This window comes from Homo sapiens, chromosome 6 (genome assembly GCF_000001405.40).
Source record: "Homo sapiens chromosome 6, GRCh38.p14 Primary Assembly".
Taxonomy (NCBI): Eukaryota; Metazoa; Chordata; class Mammalia; order Primates; family Hominidae; genus Homo; species Homo sapiens.
This window is the reverse complement of record NC_000006.12, coordinates 49,444,933-49,469,980: the sequence shown is the minus strand read 5'-3', so window position 1 is coordinate 49,469,980 and position 25,048 is coordinate 49,444,933. Positions and strand designations below refer to the sequence as shown.

Here is a 25,048-nt window from a genome sequence, read left to right as displayed (position 1 = left end):
TTTTAAAAGAAATAATTTTCACTCTTATCAGAATAAGGATATCTAATTCAATTTCATTCCTAGAAATTAACTTCCGTTTGTATGGATTTTAGAAAATCATTTAAAAATGCTTTTGTATCTCTTATTTTATACTCTATCGTATGATAACATCCTCTCCATGTTTAAGTCCAAGGAAATAGAAATATAAAGTAGTCACAGATAATGTCAGTTCAAGGAGTAAAGCCTAGGTCTTGTTATTTTAAGTAATAAATTTACCATTACCCAATTTTTGCCAAAAATGGAAGGAGACACTTTTTAGGATTATACCATCAATCTATGTGGAAATTCATGTGTTAGTCTGACACTATTAAGAATTTAAACTGCAATCCTATCTGGGCTATGTGCATTTTAACAAGAGTACAGAAATGTACTGAATACCCTGCCCTCCCACAAATTACAAAACAGACATGGGATTGGAAATGGGGATGTTGATAAAATTTAGAGTAATTTTCCCTCTTTTATTACCAAACTAATTTCTGATAAAAGGAACAGAAGAATGAAATACTTATTCTTGCATTACACCATAAGAAGTGGATAGAAGTTAGGTGCAGTATACAAGGAAATATGTATATGCACATATTAGCTATATATGCCTAGAAAATATATATATACACATATAAACATATACACATATTAGCCATAGCTAGATATACAGATAAATTATTCATCATTTATTTTCTAAACATTCAGAATTATTATACTGATACAGTTTAAATATATGTGCAGATTTAGAGAAAGACAATGATAAATCTATCCTCTCAAACGTTAAAAGCTTCAAACTCCCCTCCACACAAGACTGGAAAAAAAATTGGGAAAGAATTAACAGAAAGATCACAAACTACATTTAGCAACCACATATCACACCAGTTACAAAAAGCAGTGGAAGTCAAAATATCACTTTACCCTGCTCTTGAACAATGTGATACCTTACCAAACACTCATTCTCTATCTTGTGTTCAATTTCTAAAATGCCTAATTACCTCAACTTTACATCTACACCCTTATACTTCCCCTACTTAAAAACCCATCCACATGACAGAATTTCACTTGTAGATCTCTCCTGGAAGGGCTGACATGTACAATAGTTCAAGTTGTTCACTGAATAAGAGCATCCAGGTGAAGGGACAAGTAACAGCTGAGATTTTAGATTAAAAATGGTACACATTCCTTCTCATGATTGTTAATGAGCAGTAAGGTCTATGTTCCCTTGTCTTAAATCTTGGCAGACTCTGAAGCTGTTTGAGCAGTAGAATATAGTAGAAGTGATTCTGTTCTAGCTTACTGGCTTAGACATGAAGAGACTGGCAACTTTGACTTCTTCTTGCTTAGAAACACTTGCTTTTTTTTTAAGAAGTCTTGCACTGTCGCTTGGGCTGGAGTGCAGTGGTGCGATCTCGGCTCACTGCTGCAACCTCTGCCTCCCAGGTTTAAGCGATTCTCCTGCCTCAGCCTTCCAAGTAGCTGGGACTACAGGCACCCCCCACCACGCCCAGCTAATTTTCTGTATTTTTAGTAGAGACGGGGTTTCACCATGTTGTTCAGGCCGGTCTCGAACTCCTGACCTCAAGTGATCCTCCTGCCTCGGTCTCCCAAAGCGCTGAGATTACAGGCGTGAGCCACTGAGCCCGGCCAACACTTGCTCTTATAACCCAGCCACCACCATAGGAGGAAGGCCAACACCGAGAGGAACTGAAACCCCAGGAAAGTCTTAGCTGAGCTCCCAGCCAAGAGCCAGCACCAACTGGCCAGTCTGGTACATGTACCTAAGTCAATATGCTGCAGCCCACACTGTGTGGACAAGACATGAGCAAGCCCTGCCTAGTCCCTCCCAATCCCAAATTTTGGAACAAATTAATTGAGTAAAAAATTTACCCCAATACGTTCTGTGTAACATTCAAACTCTTTACCATGCCATTTTTAGTCCTTACCAACCTAACTCTGCCTACCTTTTCATACTTCTCTCCTACTACTCCTTAATCAAATCTCCCTCTCTAGCTAGATTTGATGATTTCCTGAACACACTTTGAGTAATTCTGCCTCCCAAACATACACTGTACCTTCTACCTGAGCAGCTCTCTTCTGTCTCTGCCCACCCTCTCAGATCATGAGCCACCTTCTTTTCAAAATCTTCCTAACTATTCTACTTCATTTCTCTCTAAGTCTGTGGCTCTTTTGCTCTGTCTCATTTGGTACTTATTTATAGCTTGGGTCCATTAATCATTTTCTTCTTGATATTCTTTATTAAAATAACATGTAATTTAGCGCTACTCCAAATCTCATTCAAACTGTTTGCCATAATCAAGTGTGGAAATTGAAGGTAATCATTTAGAAACTTTTGTAGCAATTTGATAGAGTAATTTTATGCACATTGAACCTTATCATAAAATAATTAGCCTTGTCTTTGCCATATCATTTTCTAGTAATTAGTATTTTTTTAAAAAAGACTTTTTTCAGAACAGTTTTAGGTTTACAGAAAATTGAGCAAAACATACAGAAACTTCTTATATAATCCCTGCCCTTCCCCATTCCCTGCAACCTCTAGTATTAACATCACACACCAAACTGGTACATTTGCTGTAATTGTTGACACATCATATTACCCAAAATCCATTGTTTACATCAGAGTTCACTCCTGGTATTATACCACAAGGGAGTTTGACTAATAATTGATTTTTAATTGCATTTTACAAAAGTATCAGTTATGACTGATTAGAAATAAAAAGCAAAACTGGTCTAACAGAGTTTGAGAAGTACTGTTAACAATGAAACCTACTTGAGGCACTAGACTATAGCACAAAGTTTCTCAACCTCAGCACTATTAACATTTTAGATGGATCATTCTTTGTTGTGGAGACTGTGGTGTGTATTGTAGGATGTTTAGCAGCATGCTTGGGTCTACGTAGACCGTCAGATGCTAGAATACTTCCAACCCCTGAGTAGAGCCAATCAAAATTGTTTCCAGACATTGCCAAATGTCTCCTGGGTCAAAATCAACCCAGGTTGAGAACACTACCATAATGGTTAAGAGCAGTCCTGCAACGAGGGTAAATTGTTCAAGCTCCAAATCTAGCCCTGCCACTTAATTAACTGTATATCTTTGGGCCAGTAAATTAACTCATTTTCCCCATTAGTAAAACGATTAATAAAAGTACTAACATTAAAGGCTTTTGTAAAGCAAAAATGATGTAACAAAGAATATATAAACCACCTAGAACGGTATTTGAGACATAGTAAGAATCCAATAAACAAAAGACATTGTTTCTATCACTTCTGGGCTACTCACAGTGCATATAAAAATGAATAGGTATTTTGTCCCATTCTTAGATCCAAGGGAAACCACAGCTTAGTGATAGTGCACAGGTAGAGACAGATATGAAAATAATTACTATGTGTATTTATAAATGTTATAAAGAGGCAAGTGAGCGAATGACTGTCTTAAACTGGTTTGTGCTATGGGTAAGAATGTACAGGCATAACTCTTTTTATTGTGTTTCACTTTATTGAGCCTCGCAGACACTGTATTTTGTTGTTGTTGTCTTACAAACTAAAGGTTTGTGGCAAGCCTGCACTGAACAACTATATTGATGCCATTTTTCCAACAGATTGTGCTCACTCTTCACATTTCTGTGTCATATTTTGATAACTCTCACAATATTTCAAACCTTTTCATTATTATATCTGTTATGGTGATTGATGTTACTCTGTAATTGTTTTAGGGCACCATGAACCATGCCAATATCAGACAGAGAACTTAATAGGTAAATGTTGCGTTGTGTTTTGACTGCTCCACCAACTGGCTGTTCCCTGCCTCTCTCCCTCTCCTTAGGCCTCCCTATTCCCTGAGACACAATGATATTGAAATTAGGCCATTTAATAACCCTACAATGGCCTCTAAGTGTTCAAGTGAAAGCAAAAATCACACCTCTCTCACTTTAAATTAAAAGCTAGAAATGTTTAAGCAAGGTGAGGTAGGCATGTCAAAAGCCAAGATAGGCTGGAAACTACACCAGTTAGCCAAGCTGTGAATGCAAAGGAAAAGTTCTTGAAGGAAATTTAAAGTGCTATTCCAGTGAAGACATGAATGATAAGAAAGCAAAAACAGCCTTATTACTGATAGGGAGAAAGTTTGAGTGGTCCGGGATTGAAGATCAAACTAGCCACAACACGCCCTTAAACCAAAGACGAATTCATGGCAAGGTCTTAACTCACTTCAATTCTATGAAAGCTGAGAGAGGTGAGAAAGCTGTAGCAAAAGAGCCTGAAGCTAGCAGAGCTTGGTTCCTGAGGTTTAAGGAAGTAAGCTATCTGCATAACATGAAAGTACAAAGTGAAGCAGCAAGTGCTGATGCAGAAGCTGCAGCAAGTTATCCAGTTCTAGGTAAGATAATTGATGAAGGGGCTACACTAAACAACAGATTTTCAATGAAGACAAAACAGCCTTCTATTGGAAGATGCTATCTAGGACTTTCATATCTAGAAAGAAGTCATTGCCTGGCTTCAAAGCTTCAAAAGACAGGCTGACTCTCTTGTAGGGGCTAATATGGGTGGTGACTTGAAGCCAATGCTCATTGACCATTCTGAAATATCCTAGGGCTCTTATTCTTTTAAATCTACTCTGTCTGTGCTCTGGAAATGGAAGAACAAAGCATGAGTGACAGCACATCTGTTTACAGCACGGTTTACTGAGTATTTTAAGCCCATCTTTGAGACCTACAGCTCACAAAAAGATTCCTTTCAAAATAATACTGCTCAATGACCACGTACTTGGTCACCCAAGAGCTCTGATAGAGATGTACAAGGAGATTAATGCTGTTTTCATGTCTGCTAACACAACATCCATTCTGCAGCCCATGAATCAAAGAATAATTTTGACTTTCAAGTTATATTATTTAAGAAATACATTTTGTAAAGCTATAGCTGCCCTAGACAGTGATTCCTCTGATGGATCTGGGCAAAATAAATTGAAAACTTCTGGAAATGATTCACCATCCCAAATGCTAGTAAGAACATTCATGATTCACGGGAGGAGGTCAAAATATCAACATTAACAGGAGTCTGGAAAAAGTTGATTCCAACCCTCATGGATGACTTTGTAAAGGTCATGACTTTGTTCAAGACTTCAGTGGAGGAAGTGATGAAAGATCTGGTGGCAATAGCAAGAGAAATAGTGGAGCCTGAAGATGTACCTGAATTGCTGCAATCTCATGATAAAACTAGTGGAAAAGAAGTTGCTTCTTATGAATGAGCGAAGTTCTTGAGATGGAATCTACCCCTGGTGAAGATGCTGTGAATATTCTTGAAATATCAACAAAGAATTCAGAATATCACAAAACCTTAGTTGCTAAAGCAATGGTAGGGGTTAAGAGGATTTACTCTAATTTTGAAAGAAGTTCTACAGTGGGTAAAATGCTTTCAAACAGCATCACATGCTACAGAGAAATCTTTAGTGAATGGAAGAGTCAACTGCTGTACAAAATTCATTATTTTGTTATTTTAAGAAACTGCCACAGCAACTCCAATCTTCAGCAACCATCACCCTGATTGGTCAACAGCCATCAACATCAAGCAAGACCCTCCACCAGCAAAAAGATTAGGACTTGCTGAAGGCTGAGATGATTAGTAGCATTTTTTAGCAATAAAATATTTTAAAATTACAGCATGTAATTTTTTTTTACACATAATGCTATTGCACACTTAATAGGTTACAATACAGTGTAAATACAACTGTTATATGCACTGGGAAACCAAAAAAATCGTGTGACAGGCTTTATTGGTCTGGAACCGACCCCGCAATATCTCGGAAGTATGTTTGTACATTATTCATAGAAAAAGTATTATTCTAATAACATTTTGAAATATTTAGCCAAAAAGTAGAAAAATGAAGCATCCAAGGGAAAACAGTAAAACTCGGACGGCAGGAAAGCTCGGAAAAAACACAAAAAACCTGGCGTGTTCAGGGACAGGATAATCCAGCGAGGCTTTTAATGTGTATAGGAGAAGTGAAAAGAAATAAGGCTGGTACAGTAGTTTGCCGCCAGACTATATGCTTTAGGAGAGAGGGAGGCATTCTAGGTTGTCTTGTTTTTCTTACCAGCTTGTTGATACTCATGGGACTCAATTACCTCAATTTAGACCTCTATGTGGGCACAAGAGTGAGTAGGACTCCTGGAGAAACACAGACACTAATGTCCAAGGCTGCACTTGACTTCACTAGTGCCCGCGGGAGAAATTTAGCAATGAGGATGAGCCATGAGGATGATTCGGGAGAAATAGGAAGTATTCATGGCTTTGCTCCCTCCCCCCTAATCAAACATCTCAATCTCAGGATCCTAAGGGCAGATCTTTTAGGACATCGGGCATTTCCCCGTAAGCAATCCCCCCTCGCTATCCTCAAATGCAAACTGCGGAGTCTGCCACAAACGCGTTGGCTTTAAAACTCATCCCTGAACTTTAGATCCACCCAGCCGGTTAAGGATATCACGACTCACCACTGATTCTTCTTGCACCCTTCTGAGAGCCGCGCTTAGAGTAATTCGCGCCCAAACATTCGTAAACAGAGGAGACCCGGAAGTGGGTGGGAAGAAAGCGGAAACGGGCATCTAACCCTACCCCTAAACGTCATCAGGAATGCGCCCATGAGAGCGCTATTAGATTGGCTGGAGGGAGGGCGGTGTCGGCCTACGCCCCCAGAGTCGTCCGGCTGACGCTGGCGGTGGCGCGGTTTGTGTGGGCTTGGTGAGGGCGGGGAGGCCTGGCTGTGTGGATGTCTGACAGGTGAGGCGGGGGACGCAGAAGTGCAGCCGCCCTCTCCCACAGCGGAGTCCAAAACAGGCCTACCAGTGAGTAGGACGTACACCTTTCAGATCGCTCCATTCTTCTGGCTCCTGTCCCTCCTCTACCCCTGTATTTTGAACTTTTGTCCTTTCTCTCCCGCTCTGTCCTTTACTTCTGTCTTCTTTACCTTCCTACTGTGACGGGATCCCACTCTCTGCCTTCTCCTTAGGTTTAGATTTTCACTTCGACCAACCTCTAGTTTTGGGCGAAGTCCCTGGCAATTCGGAGGTACTTCTGGAAAGAAGGTGCTTTTAATACTTTAGGGGCCATGTCGGTATCTTCTTTGGCCACTTAAGCACCCTGAACTGTTCCCGTTGGCAGAGGTCACTTTTTGTATGGTTCCAAAGGGATGCGCCTGCTTCATGGCTGCCTCCCTTCTAGGTTGTGGGTTATGTTATTGTCAGGGTTTTTCTAAGAGTTTTCGGGAATAAAAGTGATTTTCTGTGTGTAAACAGGATTAAGAGTGTAAACAGTGTTAAGAGTGAGAGGTAGAATAGAAAAGACAGGTCTAAATTGACATAAAAGCTTACATTACTAACTCGTTCTCAGTTTTATCTAGAAAGAAGGTGGTCTTAGGGAAGCTCGAAGCCCTGGATAACGTATGTGTGTAAAGTTTTAAACCACTTGATGATTTTCTGCCAATATAATTTTGTGTTTAATGATGTACTTATGCTAATATCAAATATAATTTTCATGCCCTATGTTTCCATCTCCAAACCCAACTAGTTGAACATCAAAGTACCTTCTTGAAGTATTAATGTGCAATCATACGTCAGCAGCCAAAGCTTGAAACTTATTGGTTCAAGAAATCTTTTTCTCACTGATTTGTTTTTGAGGTGTGGGGGTGGGATTAATCATTGCTCTTTAACTCATTTTAGTTGTCAGTAACATATTTGCTTTGCATGTTGCTTCTTTGAATGCTTGAGGCCTCTCTTGATGGTCTTCTGAGAAAATTCAGAGGTCGTATTGCCATCCGCAGTAGTTGTGTTTTTATCTAAAAATGGTGTCTGTTTCCAGCCTCCACCAATTCACATGTGATTTTCAGGAAGTCACTTAAACGGGGCTCTTTCCTATTAGTTGTTCAGATTTAGGAAAGCCCACGTGAAATGAGTGTGATATTTCCTGCCAACAGTTTAGTCTCAGGTGGTTTTCAAATTACCTTTTACAGGATTACTATTGAAACAGTTTAGTTGTTGCTTCATTATTTTTTTCATCCACCTTTTAAGCTAGTAAATGTAGTGGATGGCTTGCAAAAAGATGGATGACAAGGACCCCATGGATTTAAAGAATAAAAATCGTGCTAGTATTAAAAAAATGGAAGGTTTTTTTGTTTTGTTTTGAGACGGGGTCTCTCTCTGTTGCCCAGGTTGGAGTGCAGTGGCACGATCTCTGCTCACTGCAACCTCTGCTTCCCGGGTTGAAGTGATTCTCATGCCTCAGCCTCCTGAGTACCTGGGATTACTGGTGTGCGCCACCATGCCCAGCTAATTTTTGTATTTTTAGTAGAGACTGGGTTTCACCGTGTTGGCCAGGCTGGTCTTGAACCCCTGACCTCAGGTGATCCACCTGCCTCGGCCTCCTGAAGTGCTGGGATTCCAGGCGTGAACCACCATGCCCAGCCTTTTTTGTTATGTTTCCATTTAGACTTTGTTCTATGTACTTTTTACATAGTTGAACCTGTTGCACTTACAATTACGTGTCTTGAGTCTTTTACTTACTACTTTTTGAGTTTGTTTCTCTTTTTTTGGGAAACTATGCATAACACATTTTTAACTTTTTACTTATACATATATTTACAGAAACTGCATAAAACATAACTGTATAATTTGATGAATTTCCACAAACAGAATATATCTATGTAAGTGGCAATCAGATCAAGACCATTACCCCCAAAAGCCCCTCTCTTGCTCCTGTTGTATTCTAGCAACCATTAAGTAACCATTCTTCTGACTTCTGACATCAAAGATTAGTTTTGCCAGCTTTCTAAACATATTTTGATAACTACATGAAATTCTATCATTTGTATATGCTGTAATTCACTTATTCATATGTTATGAGATACTTACGATTTTCCTAAGTTTTCTCTATTACAAATAAAACTATAGGAAACATCTATTTTATATATTACTACAGAAGCTTTCCCAGGAGTAATGTTCCTCAGTGGAATGGCATAAACATTTCTGAAGCATTTCATGTATATTGACAATTTACTTTCCAAAGTAGTTAAAATAGTTAATACTGTCACCAGTGGTTTATGTCTCTTGTTTAACGACCCCATAATAAGTGTTGAGTATTGATTTCATTTAAGCTTTACTAAACTGATAGGTAAGAAGTGGTATGGAAAATAAAATTTGAAACTCCCTTTACTTGTTGCCTTATCCAGTATAAAACACATAGTATAGTGAATATATTAATGTTTGCATCTCAATATCTTTTTAAACAATGGGCTCTATATGTTTACGCTGTATGACTCTGACAAGTTTTAGTAATTCAGGTAAACAGTTTACGGCTTTGTGAGGTGGGATTTTGATCAAGCGACTTTATTTCTCTGAGCCTCAGTTTCTACATCTGGAAAATGATGACGCTGAACCCAGCAACCTAGTATAAAAGTCTATGCTAGTTATCCGGAATATGCAGCTCTAATGTTGGAGCAGTTTATAAACTAGCACAGAAGTAGATTATTGAAGAGGCCATTTAGCTCACCTTATGGGTTCTGGGATGAATTGTGTGCATATTAGTTAAATGCAAGGACTTTGAAACAGGCTGCATAGGTTCCAATCAATGCTGGCTCTTCTGTGCCTCAGTTTCCTAATCTGTAAAATAAGGATAATAATAGTACCTACCTCTTAGGGGTATTGTAAAGATTAAAATTGCTACTCTCTGTGATGTCTTTATAGCCTTCTATGTTACTGGCACATAGAAACGCTGCAAATTGGAGATAATGCCTTAGCTGAATTAGCCAGAGAAGAACATTTTAGGCAGAAGGAAGAGCAAGAGCAAATTCAGAAAACTTTGACATATGTGCAGCCAACTGTAGGTAATCCAGTATTTCTAGTGCACAAAATGCATAAAGAGGACAAAGACAGAGATGGGTCTGAGGGGGAAACAGAGACCAGTTCATGAAGGCCTTGAATGCCTGTTTGTCTTATTCATCACTTTTTTCTCTATTACCCAACATAATGTCGGTCATAAACTGATATTTAATAAAAGCACTTTGAATGAAAAAATTAATTAGGAGGCTGTAGTATATCTTCCACATGATACAGAGTCTTTGAAAAATTCCATGAGGAGTGTGACATAGTCATATTTACATTGATGTCATTGTATGGAAGGGATTCGTATAGAATGGAGTAGAAAAGGAGTAAGACTGGTCAGTAAGACCAGCTAAGAGGCTACTGAGGAAAAAGACTGAAACTACAGGACTGATAGTAATTGTGAAGAAGAGGGGCCAAAGTTATAAAATATCAGGTGCAGGAAGCAGAAAAGGGGAAGAAATGAAATCAGACTAATACATCCTCTTTCTTTTCTGTTCCTTTCTTATGAGTAGCTCCTATTTCCCACCCCCTCTTCTAAATGTTTTTACTCTATGTTTCTTTTTCTAGGTCAGTTCTTATTTCTATTGGGTGTTTCCATGCTCCACCATGTTAAGAGCTAAGAATCAGCTTTTTTTACTTTCACCTCATTACCTGAGGCAGGTAAAAGAATCATCAGGCTCCAGGCTCATACAGCAACGACTTCTACACCAGCAACAGCCCCTTCACCCAGAATGGGCTGCCCTGGCTAAAAAGCAGCTGAAAGGCAAAAACCCAGAAGACCTAATATGGCACACCCCGGAAGGGATCTCTATAAAACCCTTGTATTCCAAGAGAGATACTATGGACTTACCTGAAGAACTTCCAGGAGTGAAGCCATTCACACGTGGACCATATCCTACCATGTATACCTTTAGGCCCTGGACCATCCGCCAGTATGCTGGTTTTAGTACTGTGGAAGAAAGCAATAAGTTCTATAAGGACAACATTAAGGGTGAGATTTTAATGTAAGACATAATATTTATGATAAGTCATATGCCTCCTAGTTTTTTATTTTTTGGGGGTTAATCTCTGTAAAGATGATATTCACTCTATAATTTTGTAGTTAAAGACTATACTCTGAAAAAAGTGGATTTTTTTAACTTCTGTGGTCAAAAAGATAAGTGAATTAGAATAAGGTGCTAAATTTTTGAAAGAAAACAACACATGCACGTTGTTTAAAAGGAATTAGGTGAGGTAAAGTTGCATGAAGAAAAGAAGACATTAGCTTTGCCTTCGAAAAATGTTCAATTAACATTGTTGGGATAGCGATTGGAGAGGAAGATAGTTTAGATGATGCCCAAAGAAAGTGTAAATGTGATAACGTGGTACAAACATATTCAGTGCAACCTGGCATTCATTCACTGAAAATTATCTTAACTATTATTTCTTCTTTCTGAGCTGTAATAAAATTGTACTGTTTGAATACTAAACTTGTAGATTTATAAGTTTGTATTGCCCATGGAAGGTTGAACTTACATTTAGTATAGACTATTTTAGTTATTTAAAAATTTTGTACGATGGTCATAATTCTGTTTTCCAGAATATTTGAATAGCCAGGAATCCTTTGTGACCATATTAGATAAAAGAACAAAATAGTAAGCAAGCATACAAATGCTAAGTTATTTTTGCCATATATGAACAGCCAGATCTTTTCATGAATTTTAGAAATATTTCAATCAAGTACCATATCTTCAGATAGATACGAGATGATTGAGATTTGTTGTTTCTCCCATTCTTTCCTTTAGTGAGGTCTGGAACTAAATTTGTGCATTTTGGCACAAGGGAAACAACTGACTCTCTTAAGAAGTGAAGTATCTTTATTTAAGTTGGTTTTGACATGTATGAGCATAAAAATAGTTGTTATAAAAGTGTACTGTTATGAGATGAATCAACATTTTTAGTAGTGTTAAAAGTAAATCATTTTACCTTGATTCCAGACTCTTGAATCTTACATTATTTTTCTTTATATATTTAGCTGGTCAGCAGGGATTATCAGTTGCCTTTGATCTGGCGACACATCGTGGCTATGATTCAGACAACCCTCGAGTTCGTGGTGATGTTGGAATGGCTGGAGTTGCTATTGACACTGTGGAAGATACCAAAATTCTTTTTGATGGAATTCCTTTAGAAAAAATGTCAGTTTCCATGACTATGAATGGAGCAGTTATTCCAGTTCTTGCAAATTTTATAGTAACTGGAGAAGAACAAGGTGTACCTAAAGAGAAGCTTACTGGTACCATCCAAAATGATATACTAAAGGAATTTATGGTTCGAAATACATACATTTTTCCTCCAGAACCATCCATGAAAATTATTGCTGACATATTTGAATATACAGCAAAGGTATACTTTGTGGTTATTATAGGTTTTTCTATAGTTCCTTGAATGTAGGAATTTTTACAACATGCTATAACTGAATTTAAAAATTTAGTCTGAGTAATATAAATTTAGAATGTTTTGTTATTGTTACTTTTTGTTTTTAATGTACTAATTTTATGTTCTGTCGTTACTTGCAGGAATCTGGGCAACAGATCTTTACTGTGTTTTCTTTATTCCTAAAATTTAACTCTGATAATTGTTAGATTCAGGGAGGTCTTCTACTTACATTTTTAAATTTCCCTCCGAAATTCAGATGCAGTTGTGAAGTAGACACTGGTATCAGACAAATGGGGATTGGAATATCAGCTTTATTTCTGCTAAAAGCTGAATTGGAAGATATCACTTATCACTCATATCTGCAACCTCAAGGAGGTCCCTAATATTCACCCTTGAATTAGGCTCATCTTTCCCAATAAGAATGATGGGAAAAATCCTTCCATAGGGACACATTTTCCTCCTTCATTTTCCTGTGAGCAATTTGTTTATATTTCCCCCCATTATTCACTCTTTGCTTCTTACCAGCAACGTACTCCTTCTCCTTACCTACGTTAAAGTTAGATCATTATTTCATGGCACAGAGAAAATCGTCATCAACCCTTTTTATCTTTATCAACCCTTGTAATTACTGTTATCTCCAAACTCTAGCAAGCATTGTGTAGCAAGCATTTTATGTTTGGTTAACTCTTGGTAAAGATAGTTTTTCTTGGCTGTGCAGGATATGTGTGATGTACTCTACCTAACATGAAATTTTAGGGGAATAGTGGAAATACAGTTTTTGTAGTGATTGTGGTGGAAAGAACCTGTCTGGGATATGCTTAGTATTAAATGTCACAGTAAATCAAACTGAAATCTTTGATTTTTAAAGCCATGCATTTTATCCCATTTTGTTTCAACATATAGTACTAAGAATCAAATCATTTTATTTTTTTTCCTACTGTGTACTTATTCATGTTTGATGCCTTCATTCAAACTAGAAAATTAATAACTAGTAAATAATAATAAATTTATACATCTTAAGCAGATTAACCCAAGGTTTGGGTCTACAACCTCTTATGAGGTCCAAGTCATTGGTTTGGAATTAAAAATGCTTCATTTAGTTCTCAGGCCAAAGGTTACATTCCTAACCTCAGCTAGCTAATTCCACAATTTAAACTTTCAGAATGGTTAGTATAAATTCTTGTCCACCAGAAAAATAAAGTAGGTACAGTCCTGATGATGGTTCATGGACGAACCATTTAAATTGGAAAGCAAATTAAATGTAACAAATAAGCATTAAATATTTTGTTAACATTATGAACTACCAAGTTTATTTGAATTTAACATCATTTTAAAATAATGTTTATGCTTAGAAAGTGGATTTAATAGGACCTTTTAATATTTTTACTTATTCACTGTTACAATTTTTTTTTTTATGTAGCACATGCCAAAATTTAATTCAATTTCAATTAGTGGATACCATATGCAGGAAGCAGGGGCTGATGCCATTCTGGAGCTGGCCTATACTTTAGCAGATGGATTGGAGTACTCTAGAACTGGACTCCAGGCTGGCCTGACAATTGATGAATTTGCACCAAGGTGAGTAAATTAAACCTAGATATTGTTTCAACATTAAGAAATGCATAGGACCATTTTATATATTGATAAAATGAATTTATAAATATAAATGTCAGGCTAGATTTAGATTTTCTTATATTTTATCTGAGTGATAATGAGAGAAAAAGCCAATATTTCTAATAAAAAATAGAATTAAATTTGGCTGTACTTCTTTGTAAATTTGAGGAATATCTTGTCTCCAGCTATTTAGAGAACACAATTAAGTTCCACATTTTAACAAATTACATTAAAATGTAAACATAATGTTGAGACAGTTTTTTCTAATTTTTCCATTTTAGAATACAGAATTCATCTATTATTATTTTTTTTTCTGTTGCACTATCTAATGTAATGTTTTGGGATCCACTGTGCTGTTGAAACATTTGTTTCACAACAGTTTCTTAATAATGTTGTATGAAAAATATGGGAAAACTTAAATGTAGTTTATGAAATATTTAAATTTGGAAGTCGAAAGTCATTCGGTGGTTCAATCAGTACAGCAATCACTTGCTAAGCTTTGCTGTGCCAAACACTAGCCTATATGCTGACAATACAACATGTAGAAAACATAGCTTCTGCCTTTAGTGTTTATAGACTACTGAAATGCTCCTTTGTACCAGGGATTTGTGTACTTACTGTGACAGCAGTTCCCAAAGTGTGGTCTAAGAACAGTTGGGCATTGCTAAGACTCTTTCTGGGGTATTTGAGATCAAAACTGTTTTTATGCTTATGTTAGAGCTTTATTTGCCTTTTTCACTTTCATTTTCTCAAGAATTTATAGTGATGTTTTTCAGAAGCTACACGATATGTGATACTGCAACAGATTGCAGAAACAGATATGAGACTCCAGCTGTTTTCTCTTAAGCCATACATTGAAGAGATTTGCAAAAATGTAAAACAATGATGCTTTTATTATATATATATATATTTTTTTAAGAAGCATACTTATTTTTCATAAGAAATGTTACTAATGTTAACATGTTGTGGGTTTATTTTGATTTGATTTGATGATTATTGAGATAGGATCTTGCTCTGTTGCACATGCTGGAGTGCAATGGCATGATCACTGCTCATTGCAGCCTCAGCCTGCCAGGCTTAAGGGTTCCTCCCACCTCAGGCTCCCAAGTAGCTGTGACTACAGGTGTGTGCCACCATACCTGGCTAAGTTTTAAGTTTTCCTGTAGAGATGGGGTTTCCCTGTGTTGCCTAGCTGGTATCAAACTCCTGGGCTCAAGCTATCCTCCTGCCTTGGCCTCCTAAAGTGCTGAGATTCTAGGCAGTAGCCTCTGTGCCCTTCCTTATTGTTACTTTTGAATGAACTAGTAAATAAAATATTGATAGATATTATACAAATAAAGAAATAAATTCTTTGGAATTTTCAGTAAGTTTTAAGAGTAGAAAGGGAACCTGAGATCAAAATATTTGAAAACTGCTGTGTTAAGAACTTCTTTCAAGGCTGGGTGTGGTGGCTCATGCCTGTAATCCCAGTGCTTCGGGTGACCGAGGCGGACAGATCACATGAGGCCAGGAATTCAAGACCAGTCTGGCCAACATGGCGAAACCCAGTCTCTATTAAAAATACAAAAATTAGCTGGGCATGGTGGTGCTTGTCTGTAATTCCAGCTACTTGGGAGGGTGAGGCACAAGAATCGCTTGAACCTGGGAAGTGGAGGTTGCAGTGACCCGACATTGCTTCATTGCACTCCAGCCTGTGCAATAGAACAAGACTCTGTCTCAAAAAAAGAACTTCCAAAAATGTGTCAGAAGTAGATTTGCAAGCTTTGTGCCTTTAGAGACAGGCAAGTAACCTAAATGTTTAAATCAGCACAGAATATAAGATAAAAGGGAGAGGTGAAGGGCACAAATTGGAGAAGTATATGCCTAGACCAATGCACAATCATTCTTTTACAAAACACTTTTCTGGCTAAACAAAGCAAATTTGCTGTTTTATTTCATTCATAGGTGACTCCTGTCTTACATATTGAGTATTCCTAAAATATACATTTTTTAAATAAATTGAATCTTTATTTAATGAAGGGCATAGGAAGAGATTCTTTCATTAAGAAAACCAATTACAAAGTGAATAATTCTTACCTGAAGCAAAATTTCTTCCATATGCATAAAACTGTAATTTTATGTTAGGTTTAAAGTTACATAAATGTACGTGCACTGATCTTAATTCAAATTAAGTTCTTCGAAATTAAAATATAGACCTTGATTTTCTAGTGTGTGATACAATTAGTTTTATTTTCTGCTCTATATTGTTAACTTTAATTAAATTCTGGACCTAACGTTACTATTTTAGGTTGTCTTTCTTCTGGGGAATTGGAATGAATTTCTATATGGAAATAGCAAAGATGAGAGCTGGTAGAAGACTCTGGGCTCACTTAATAGAGAAAATGTTTCAGCCTAAAAACTCAAAATCTCTTCTTCTAAGAGCACACTGTCAGACATCTGGATGGTCACTTACTGAGCAGGTATGTATATAATTTAAAATGTAGAATTTTAATAAAGTTATATATATATATTTTTTCTGAGCAATGTGGCACAAGCAGGAAATAGAATTAAGAAGCTATCTGTTAATATTTGAAATGATAAATATTCTGAAGCATAATGTATACTTAGGTTTGTAATTATACATAATATAATAAATAAATAAATAAAAATTGTCTCCCTCTGGTGGTTAACAATATAAAATCACTTACATCCTAGCTTCCCTGTAGTGCTGAAACACTTGTAAAAGTAAACAAGGCTGGGCGAGTTGGCTCACACCAGTAATTCCAACATTTTGGGAGGCCGAGGCACCCAGCCTGGCCAACCTGGCAAAAACCTACCTCTACTAAAAATACAAAATTAGTTGGGCGTGGTGGTGCATGCCTATAATCCCAGCTACTTGGGAAGCTGACGTAGGAGAATCACTTGAACCTGGGAATCGGAGGTTGCAGTGAGCCAAGATGACGCCACTGCACTCCAGCCTGGGCAACAAGAGCACAACTACGTCTAAAAAAAAAAAAAAAAAAAACAAAGAAAGAAAGAAAACAGAATTTGATGATGAGAAGGAAGCAAAAGTCATAAGTTAGTACTCTCATATAATTGTAAGAGTTATAATTCTTAACATAAAACTGCCTATTTAAAATTAATTATATATACATACATATTTTATGTGTTAAAGTTATGTATTTAAGCAAGCATGCAAGCAGACTGTTTAAAGACTGTTTTTACTTGGGTAATTTAATTTGTTCTCTTAAAAATTGTATAGTTATGGCCTTGTTTTTATACATGTTCTCTTTACATATGAAATTATTTTGGTACATTTAAAAATAATTTATATGTGCAAAGTTACATTGCTTTTATACATTTAAATGTTGAATAATAACTATTATACTCTGTATGAAATAAAACTTCAGGTTCTTATAAATGGAGAAATAGACCTGGCACAGTGGCTCACGCCTGTAAATCCCAGCACTTTGGGAGGCCAAGGCGGGCAGATCACAAGGTCAGGAGATCAAGATCATCCTGGCTAACATGGTGAAACCCCGTCTCTACTAAAAATACAAAAAAATTAGCCAGGTGTGTTGGCAGGCACCTATAGTCCCAGCTACTCAGGAGGCTGAGGCAAGAGATTGGAGTGAACCCGGGAGGCAGAGCTTACAGTGAGCCGAGATTGCGCCACTGCACTCCAGCCTGGGCAACAGAGCGAGACTCCGTCTCAAAATAAATAAATAAATAAAATAAAAATAAATAAATAAATACATGGAGAAATAAGAGATTTTTAGGGTTGGAAGGAACTTTAATAATCATTTTTATTTTAACCTGCTTATTTTTTCAGCTAAAGAAACTGAAGTTCAGAGAGATCCAATGACTTGCCCAAATCACAATTAGGCATGCAATAAACTAGAACTCAAATTTCTGATATCTCAGTTCATTGTTCATCTATTTTATTAACATTTATTCAGTGCCTGTTTTGTACACATCATTGTGGTAGATACTGTGAGGTAGACAAAATAATCAGCAAAGAGTGAATTATGAAATGAAGGACTATATAATCTTAAGTAGAAAAAGAATGCATTGTTGATATACTTATAGAAAAGTATTTAGGCAATATAAAAGTAAGCACAACAATATCTGATATTTCAGAGGATTATAAGAGGCACTAAACACTGAACTCTGACTCTTCTAATTTTGGCTTCTAAACTAATTTGTCTGAATTTATTTGCTATTCTGAAGCTTAATATGGAAATTGACATAGAAAATATGCAGCAGTTGCTGTTTAATCATGTTGCTGTTTATAGTTGCAATATCTATCACCTGTTTCTTTGAGTTTTTGTTTTTTATCAAATATTTTAGGATCCCTACAATAATATTGTCCGTACTGCAATAGAAGCAATGGCAGCAGTATTTGGAGGGACTCAGTCTTTGCACACAAATTCTTTTGATGAAGCTTTGGGTTTGCCAACTGTGAAAAGTGCTCGAATTGCCAGGAACACACAAATCATCATTCAAGAAGAATCTGGGATTCCCAAAGTGGCTGATCCTTGGGGAGGTTCTTACATGATGGAATGTCTCACAAATGATGTTTATGATGCTGCTTTAAAGGTAAGTTTTTCCACTTTGCAACTTTGTTTTCAGAATTTACAGATTTGTAAAGATTTATAGATTTTAAAACTTACAAGTCAAGATTTATAGATTTTAAATTTATAAATCAAATCACTTACAGATTTATATAATAATTTAAACGATGTTTGCAAAAAAAATTCAGATTTGATTTTATAGTTTTCAAAACAATCCATTTAAAAATACATTTCTATTAAAGTATTTTATTAAAAGAATTAAAAAGACAGCTAGTATTAAAAAGCTCATACAAAGAACAGCAGTTTTTGATCATCCACTTGTTTTTTCCTGCTTCCTGGAGTAAGATACATACTTCTTTGCTTATTTTTGTTTTTATCTGCATAGTTTAAAATCACATGTATACTATTTCTTGTAATTTTATCAACTGTAGACATTACACATGAGACCTTAGACACTATCTATTGCTTTCCTAGTAGGGTAGTTTAGATTTTGGCTGATTCATACCCCTACTTTTCCTCCTCCCTTACTACCAATATAATTATATCTCAATGTAATCTTTTCTGAATTCTTCTAATGTTCTCATTTGACTTAAATTGTTTTTTCTCTATTTCTGCTCACTATTGCTGTTCTTTGACTCCTCTTTGCCATTATAGTAGGAATATATTTTCATTTCTCCTCTGTTTAATTCTGAATCTTGAATCCCATGTCTATCTCTTGGTTATTTGGAAGTACATCTCATAGAAACCTGCTAAAAATGGTGCATGGGAGATAAATTATTTGAAACTTTTCCTGTTTGGGAATGTCTTTATTCTATTTTTATAATTGATTAATAGCCTGACTAAGCTTGACATTATTTCCATTCAGGAAATTCATAAGCAAGTTTATAAGCATTGATCTGTTTTTTATTCTAGATTTTTATTCTGGCTTTCAATATTTCTGATCAGAAATTTGATGCCATTCTCATTCAGGATCTTTCTTTCTGAAAGTATTGGGACCTCTTCTTTATTTTTTGTATTGATGTATAACTTGGTGTATTTTTTCCTACATGGTACTGAACCTTTATTGGGTCTTTTTCATCTCACCTTTTTTTAAAAAATATTTTTATAGCTCTAGGAAATTTTCTTGTATTATTTCTTTGACAGTATTTTTCTTGTCATTTTCATATGGGTTCTCTTTCTAGAACTCCTAGTCATAAGCTACGGACCTCCTTAAATAATATCCTGATGTGCTGATGTTCTTATCTTTTTTTTTTTTTTTTTTAAGACAGAGTCTTACTCTGTCACCAGGCTGGAGTGCAGTGGCGTGATCTCGGCTTACTGCAACTTTTGACTCCCTAGTTCAAGCGATTCTCCTGTCTCAGCCTCCCGAGTAGCTGGGATTACAGGCACACACCACCACACCCGGATAATTTTTGTATTTTTAATGGAGACGGGGGTTCACCGTGTTGGTCAGGCTGGTCTCAAACTCCTGACCTCGTGATCCACTCACCTTGGCCTCCCAAAGAGCTGGGATTACAGGCATGAGCCACTGCTCCCTGCCTGCTCTTATCTTTTCTATAGTATATCTGTTTGCCTTTTTTTTCTGTGTTCTTAAAGATTTGTCAACTTTATATTTCTACTTATTTTTACATTCATGTATTATATTTTTGATTCGTAGAGCTCATTTTTGTTTTCTAATTTCCCCCTTATAATTAATGTCATCTTCATTTGTTTCATTAGTACAGAATCCATTTATATTCTGAATTCATGATATTTTCTGAAGTTTTCTTTTACATCCTGTATTGTCTCCATTTTCTCTCTGTGCTTTTTGTTTTTAGTCTTTAGTCAGAGTACAGGCTTTTATTTCAGTAAGACATCTTACCCTTACTTCTGTCTGTATTTGGTATTTGATAGTTCATTGTGTCTCGAGTTCATTTTCTGTAGACAGTAAACTTTGGTTCTCCTGACAGAATGAGAGAGGGGTGGTTGCAGACTCTCAAATTGTCTTCTTCTTTTTAGCTTCTCATTTTACACTTACGTAGAATCCAATATAGATTCTTCTTTCTTGAATTCATCAGGGAAAAGCAGGTTGACCTTGATCCTTTCTGCTAAGTCATATATCATTCCACTGTCTGTTTTCTGCCTTCATATATGAAGCTATGATTGAAGGTTTAAATGTTTCCTGATTTCATTAAAGATGAGGTTACATTGTTTCTCTGCAGCTCAAATCAAAAGTAAATTGCATTTTAAAATATATTTTTCTTACAGACTTTATGTAATTATGAAAACTTTATGTACCTAAAAATAAAGATTAGAGAATTGATGTTGCTTTAATTTTCTCCCAAGACTTAAGAGGTTTTGTGTTTTTTGGAATATACTTGTTAGTTGTCTTTTCAAGTAACTATAAACACACAAATTCTAATTAATGACTTTGATGTTTATTTAATTCTGTTCTTATGAAACATTAACATTTAGTTTATAATTTTATTAATATTAGTAATTATATAACACTCATAACAAATTTATATAGTTTACACACATTTTTAATATTCTCTTTTAGTTTTGTTAATGTTTTTCTTTTTAGCTCATTAATGAAATTGAAGAAATGGGTGGAATGGCCAAAGCTGTAGCTGAGGGAATACCTAAACTTCGAATTGAAGAATGTGCTGCCCGAAGACAAGCTAGAATAGATTCTGGTAAGATAGTGAGAAAGTTCATATATGAAATCCAGTAGTTAAAAAGAAATTCATTTCTGTTTGAAGATAACATGTATAGTTAACAAAACAAAAATAATGAAAAATGGAACTTGGGTAAATTTTTTCTCATATACTTGTATCTATCTATATATGTATTTTCACATACATGGATGCACACAGGCAAGCATATGTACAAAGTGTGTGTGGATGTCTAACCATTGTATATATGTACATGTTTGTGGGTAGATGTCATTAACATTTTGAAGATGACACTGTTGATGATCACAGTGTTCTCTGCATTGGAGTATTCATTCATTCAATGAATACTTCTTTAGTTTATTTTGTTTGAGGCACTTGCTATGTCTGGGCATACAACTGTGAACAGGACAGACATGACCTCTATGACCTCTATGCACACAAATCTTACATTCTAGTAAAAGAGAGGAAAATGAACAAGTAAATAAAGAATTATAGATCATGATAAGTGCTATGAAGGAAATATGAAGGAGTATAACCAGGGGTAGGGGTTGTGGGAAGTTTTATATAAGAGTAATAATCTGGTAGTTTGAGGTAAAATATATTCTTTATCATGTAAGGAAGTATCTTTGTAATTTTGATTTACTAATAGATTATAGAAGGGTTCTTTTTTTGTTTAAAAGTGACTGGCTGAATTCAAAAAAATATTAGAAAAGCTACTGGGTATTCATTCTCTACCTTATAAATCTTAGATGGCAGCTGCTCTGATTGTTATTTCGAAGTGTTAAAAGATTTATTAGAAACCGTGGGAAAGTGTATATTAATAGTTTGGTAGAATAATGAAAGTCCTTCCTTACAGAGACTCTGACATATACCTCTACTTTCCTCTCACACCCCCTTCTCAGATTGGGATTTGCTGATCTATATTGAAGTTGCATTAAGAATTAAGAATACTACTTAAAGATATTAAATTTATAAGGAAAATACATCATAACCAGAGCATTACAATTAGGTAATTATTTGTGAATAAAATTTTTCTTTGGGAAATTACCAGGTTCTGAAGTAATTGTTGGAGTAAATAAGTACCAGTTGGAAAAAGAAGACGCTGTAGAAGTTCTGGCAATTGATAATACTTCAGTGCGAAACAGGCAGATTGAAAAACTTAAGAAGGTATTAATAGCTTGCTTTTTTTTTTTTTTTTAAGTATTTTCTGTGTTCTGGGCTCTGGCTAAGCTTTTAAACTGTCCTGCTTAAATTAATCCTTACAACAGCATGAGGTGTGTATTAATTTCCATCATTTCAAATGTAAGGGAACTAAAGATAAGGCATTGAGAAACTTGCTCAGGATAAATAGACAACCAGGACTCAGTCTTAGTCTGTTGACACCAAAAACTTGTTTTAAACCATGATATCTACCTCTGTGAAACTTATAAGTTGTTATTAAAAACCACACTACAATAATAATACCTTCCATAATTTATAGATTAAAACCAAGGCTTAGATGATTATGTAACTTACTAAAAATTAAAAACAGAATAAAGTTTAGAGTTATTATTTGAACCCAGGGCTTCTTATTGTAATTTCTTTCACCAGAATGATGGCATCTGATACTACTTTGAAATAATTACTTGCTTTTTGATTTTTAAAATTCAACTATATTTGGTAGTGCTTTAGTAAGGTACAGTTTACAATAAACTTTATTTATTTTGATTGAAACTAGAGTATCGTATTCCCTTCTTATTTTTAGTTTGTCACTGAGTTGATCCAGAGCATATGAAATACTAAAATAGATAAATCAAATTAATTGTCACTGTTGTAACCTATATATTTTTGTTGTATGAAGCTACTTTGGCCTCTTAATCTTTGGCATTTGTAAGTACTGCTGTTTCCAAGGTAGGGAGCTTATACATTTAATGGTTTTCTTTGTTTACTTTTCCTGAGATTGTTTAATGTATGGCTTTTTTTTTAGTTCAATCTATAAAAATCTAATAGTATTTATTTTTGGAAAACCCTTTCTTTTCTGTTATACTTTAGGTTATTAACTTTATATCTTCATAGCCTGAAGGATTTCATTTATCATAAATAATGATAAGCCTTATTTTGGGCAACAGAGAGAAATTCATTAATGACAATATAGCAATAATAGTTAACATTTATTGAGCACTTACTGTGTACCCATACTGTACTAAATCCTTTTCTTGAATTGTTGTTTTTGTGTATTGTTTTATTTAACAGGTAGTTACTATTTTTATTTCCATTTACAGATGAGGGAACTAATGATTGGAGAGTCTCATTTAGTTGCTCAAGTTTATAGTATAAGTGACAAAGCTGGGATTTGAATGCAGGCTTTTTGACTCTAGAGCCAGTTTAGGAGAAATGGATATTCTGATGTAACTTTTTCCTAGTTTTGAACTTTCTTAGGACCATGACCAAATCAAAGTTCTTCTATTACAAAAATTAATTTTCATAGCTAGAATCAGATATTTTTATAGCAAAATATATTTCTGCTGCAATACTCTGAGCTCTCTTTAGTAATGAACTCAAGTTTATATTTTCTTACGCTTTCCTTTTACCTATGGTTTTAACAATATTTTACCTGTGGTGGTAATTTTTTTAAAAATGTGAACTATCTCAACAGTAATTTTATATTAAATTATTTTTCTGTAACCGTCAGCCCTAATTAATTTTAGCATCTGTTTTCACTCCCTGAATTTTAGTAATCTGTTGTTGAGATAATTATAGCAAACTACCTAATCTAAGGATGACTAATTTTCTAGTAAACCAGAAAAGGTGTACTTCTTAGGTCTTTGCTCAAATGTCACCTTATCTAAGAAGCTTACAGTGATCCAATATCTACAATAGCACCCTACTACCTTGTGCCAAATCACTTCGTTATTTACTCGATTTACTTTATTTTTCTCTTAAATTGTATGTGTTTATTGTTTCTTTCTCCAATAAAAGATAAAGAAAAATGGGCATTTTTATGGAGAATTTGGAGTTGAGTTTTTTCTTGCTCTAAATATAGTTGGACCTCCATATCTGTGGGTTCCACATCTATAGATTTAACCAATAATGAATTGAAGATATTTGAGAAAAAAAGAATGGATATGTCTGTACTGAATATGTACAGACTTTTTTCTTGTTATTTCCTAAACCATACACTATAACAACTATTTATATAGTATTTACATTGTATTAGGAATTATAAGTAATCTAGAGATGATTTAAAGTATACAAGAAAATGTACATAGGTTATATGCAAACACTACATCATTTTATATAAGGGCCTTGAACATCCCTGAATTTTGCTATCTGTGGATAGGGTGGGCAGTGGGTCATGAAACCAATCACTCACAGATACTGAGGGATGACTATAAATTTTCTGTACCTCTGCTTATATATGCTATATAATACTAGTGGCATCTTGAGCAGTATATTTTAGACTCTTTTACAGGTGGTACAATTTGTAAAAAAATGGATTTATGCAACTTTATTTTGACAAATTATTGGCAGAGCAGAGTTAGGACCCAGGGAAAACTTTTTTACTGTGCTTTTCATTGTATATCTTTTTCTTAGTCCCTCTTTCGCTCTCGAGATTATTTTTAAATAAAAGTATAGCAATATGCATATTATTATCAATACATTGTTATTTATCTAAAGGAAACTTAAAATATAACTAAAATATTCTCTAAGTTTTGATTTTTTTTCTTGTCACTATTAATCTTTAGTGTTCCTTCAAAATACTTCATATGAAAGACCCACTTGTTTACAATGTCTTGGTACTTTAGAAAAGCCTAAGTAACATGTGCTACTTGGGAAGGTCAGCACTATTATTGCCCTTCATGTTTCTGATTTGTTAGGATTATACCAAATGTAATATTATTTTAGGAAATCCTGAGTGAATGAA

The 25,048-nt window shown here is 35.3% G+C and overlaps 2 protein-coding genes across 4 annotated transcripts in view, besides 3 other annotated features; one reads left to right on the top strand and one right to left on the bottom strand.

Moving 5' to 3' along the window:
* CENPQ (centromere protein Q) overlaps nucleotides 1–6,611 on the bottom strand; it is a 29,738-nt gene extending 23,127 nt beyond the window's left edge. For both annotated transcript variants that reach the window (XM_005249205.2, NM_018132.4), the window contains exon 1: nucleotides 6,528–6,611. The gene's annotated coding sequence lies outside the window, so the exon portion shown is untranslated. The remainder of the gene's footprint in view (nucleotides 1–6,527) is intronic.
* Nucleotides 5,745–6,644: an enhancer, noted in NCBI's record as "H3K27ac hESC enhancer chr6:49431050-49431949 (GRCh37/hg19 assembly coordinates)". NCBI's record gives its function as "activates a minimal SCP1, AML or CMV promoter by ChIP-STARR-seq in primed H9 embryonic stem cells {active_cell/tissue: H9 hESC(primed)}" and the evidence as "EXISTENCE:reporter gene assay evidence [ECO:0000049][PMID:30033119]".
* Nucleotides 6,645–7,545: an enhancer, noted in NCBI's record as "H3K27ac hESC enhancer chr6:49430149-49431049 (GRCh37/hg19 assembly coordinates)". NCBI's record gives its function as "activates a minimal SCP1, AML or CMV promoter by ChIP-STARR-seq in primed H9 embryonic stem cells {active_cell/tissue: H9 hESC(primed)}" and the evidence as "EXISTENCE:reporter gene assay evidence [ECO:0000049][PMID:30033119]".
* The window catches only part of MMUT (methylmalonyl-CoA mutase), a 32,894-nt gene continuing 14,573 nt past the window's right edge, over nucleotides 6,728–25,048 (top strand). The window contains exons 1-8 of one of the 2 annotated variants that reach the window (XM_005249143.4): nucleotides 6,728–6,813; nucleotides 10,476–10,899; nucleotides 11,923–12,290; nucleotides 13,744–13,901; nucleotides 16,225–16,396; nucleotides 18,267–18,515; nucleotides 21,054–21,165; nucleotides 22,196–22,311. In XM_005249143.4, the coding sequence (XP_005249200.1) occupies nucleotides 10,515–10,899; nucleotides 11,923–12,290; nucleotides 13,744–13,901; nucleotides 16,225–16,396; nucleotides 18,267–18,515; nucleotides 21,054–21,165; nucleotides 22,196–22,311 (1,560 nt within the window). In that variant the 5' untranslated portion in view covers nucleotides 6,728–6,813; nucleotides 10,476–10,514. Of the gene's footprint in view, nucleotides 6,879–10,475; nucleotides 10,900–11,922; nucleotides 12,291–13,743; nucleotides 13,902–16,224; nucleotides 16,397–18,266; nucleotides 18,516–21,053; nucleotides 21,166–22,195; nucleotides 22,312–25,048 lie in introns of both variants that reach the window. The other variant, NM_000255.4, reaches the window with a different exon arrangement.
* Nucleotides 6,989–7,058: an enhancer, noted in NCBI's record as "active region_24663". NCBI's record gives its function as "activates an Ori minimal core promoter by ATAC-STARR-seq in GM12878 lymphoblastoid cells {active_cell/tissue: GM12878}" and the evidence as "EXISTENCE:reporter gene assay evidence [ECO:0000049][PMID:35858748]".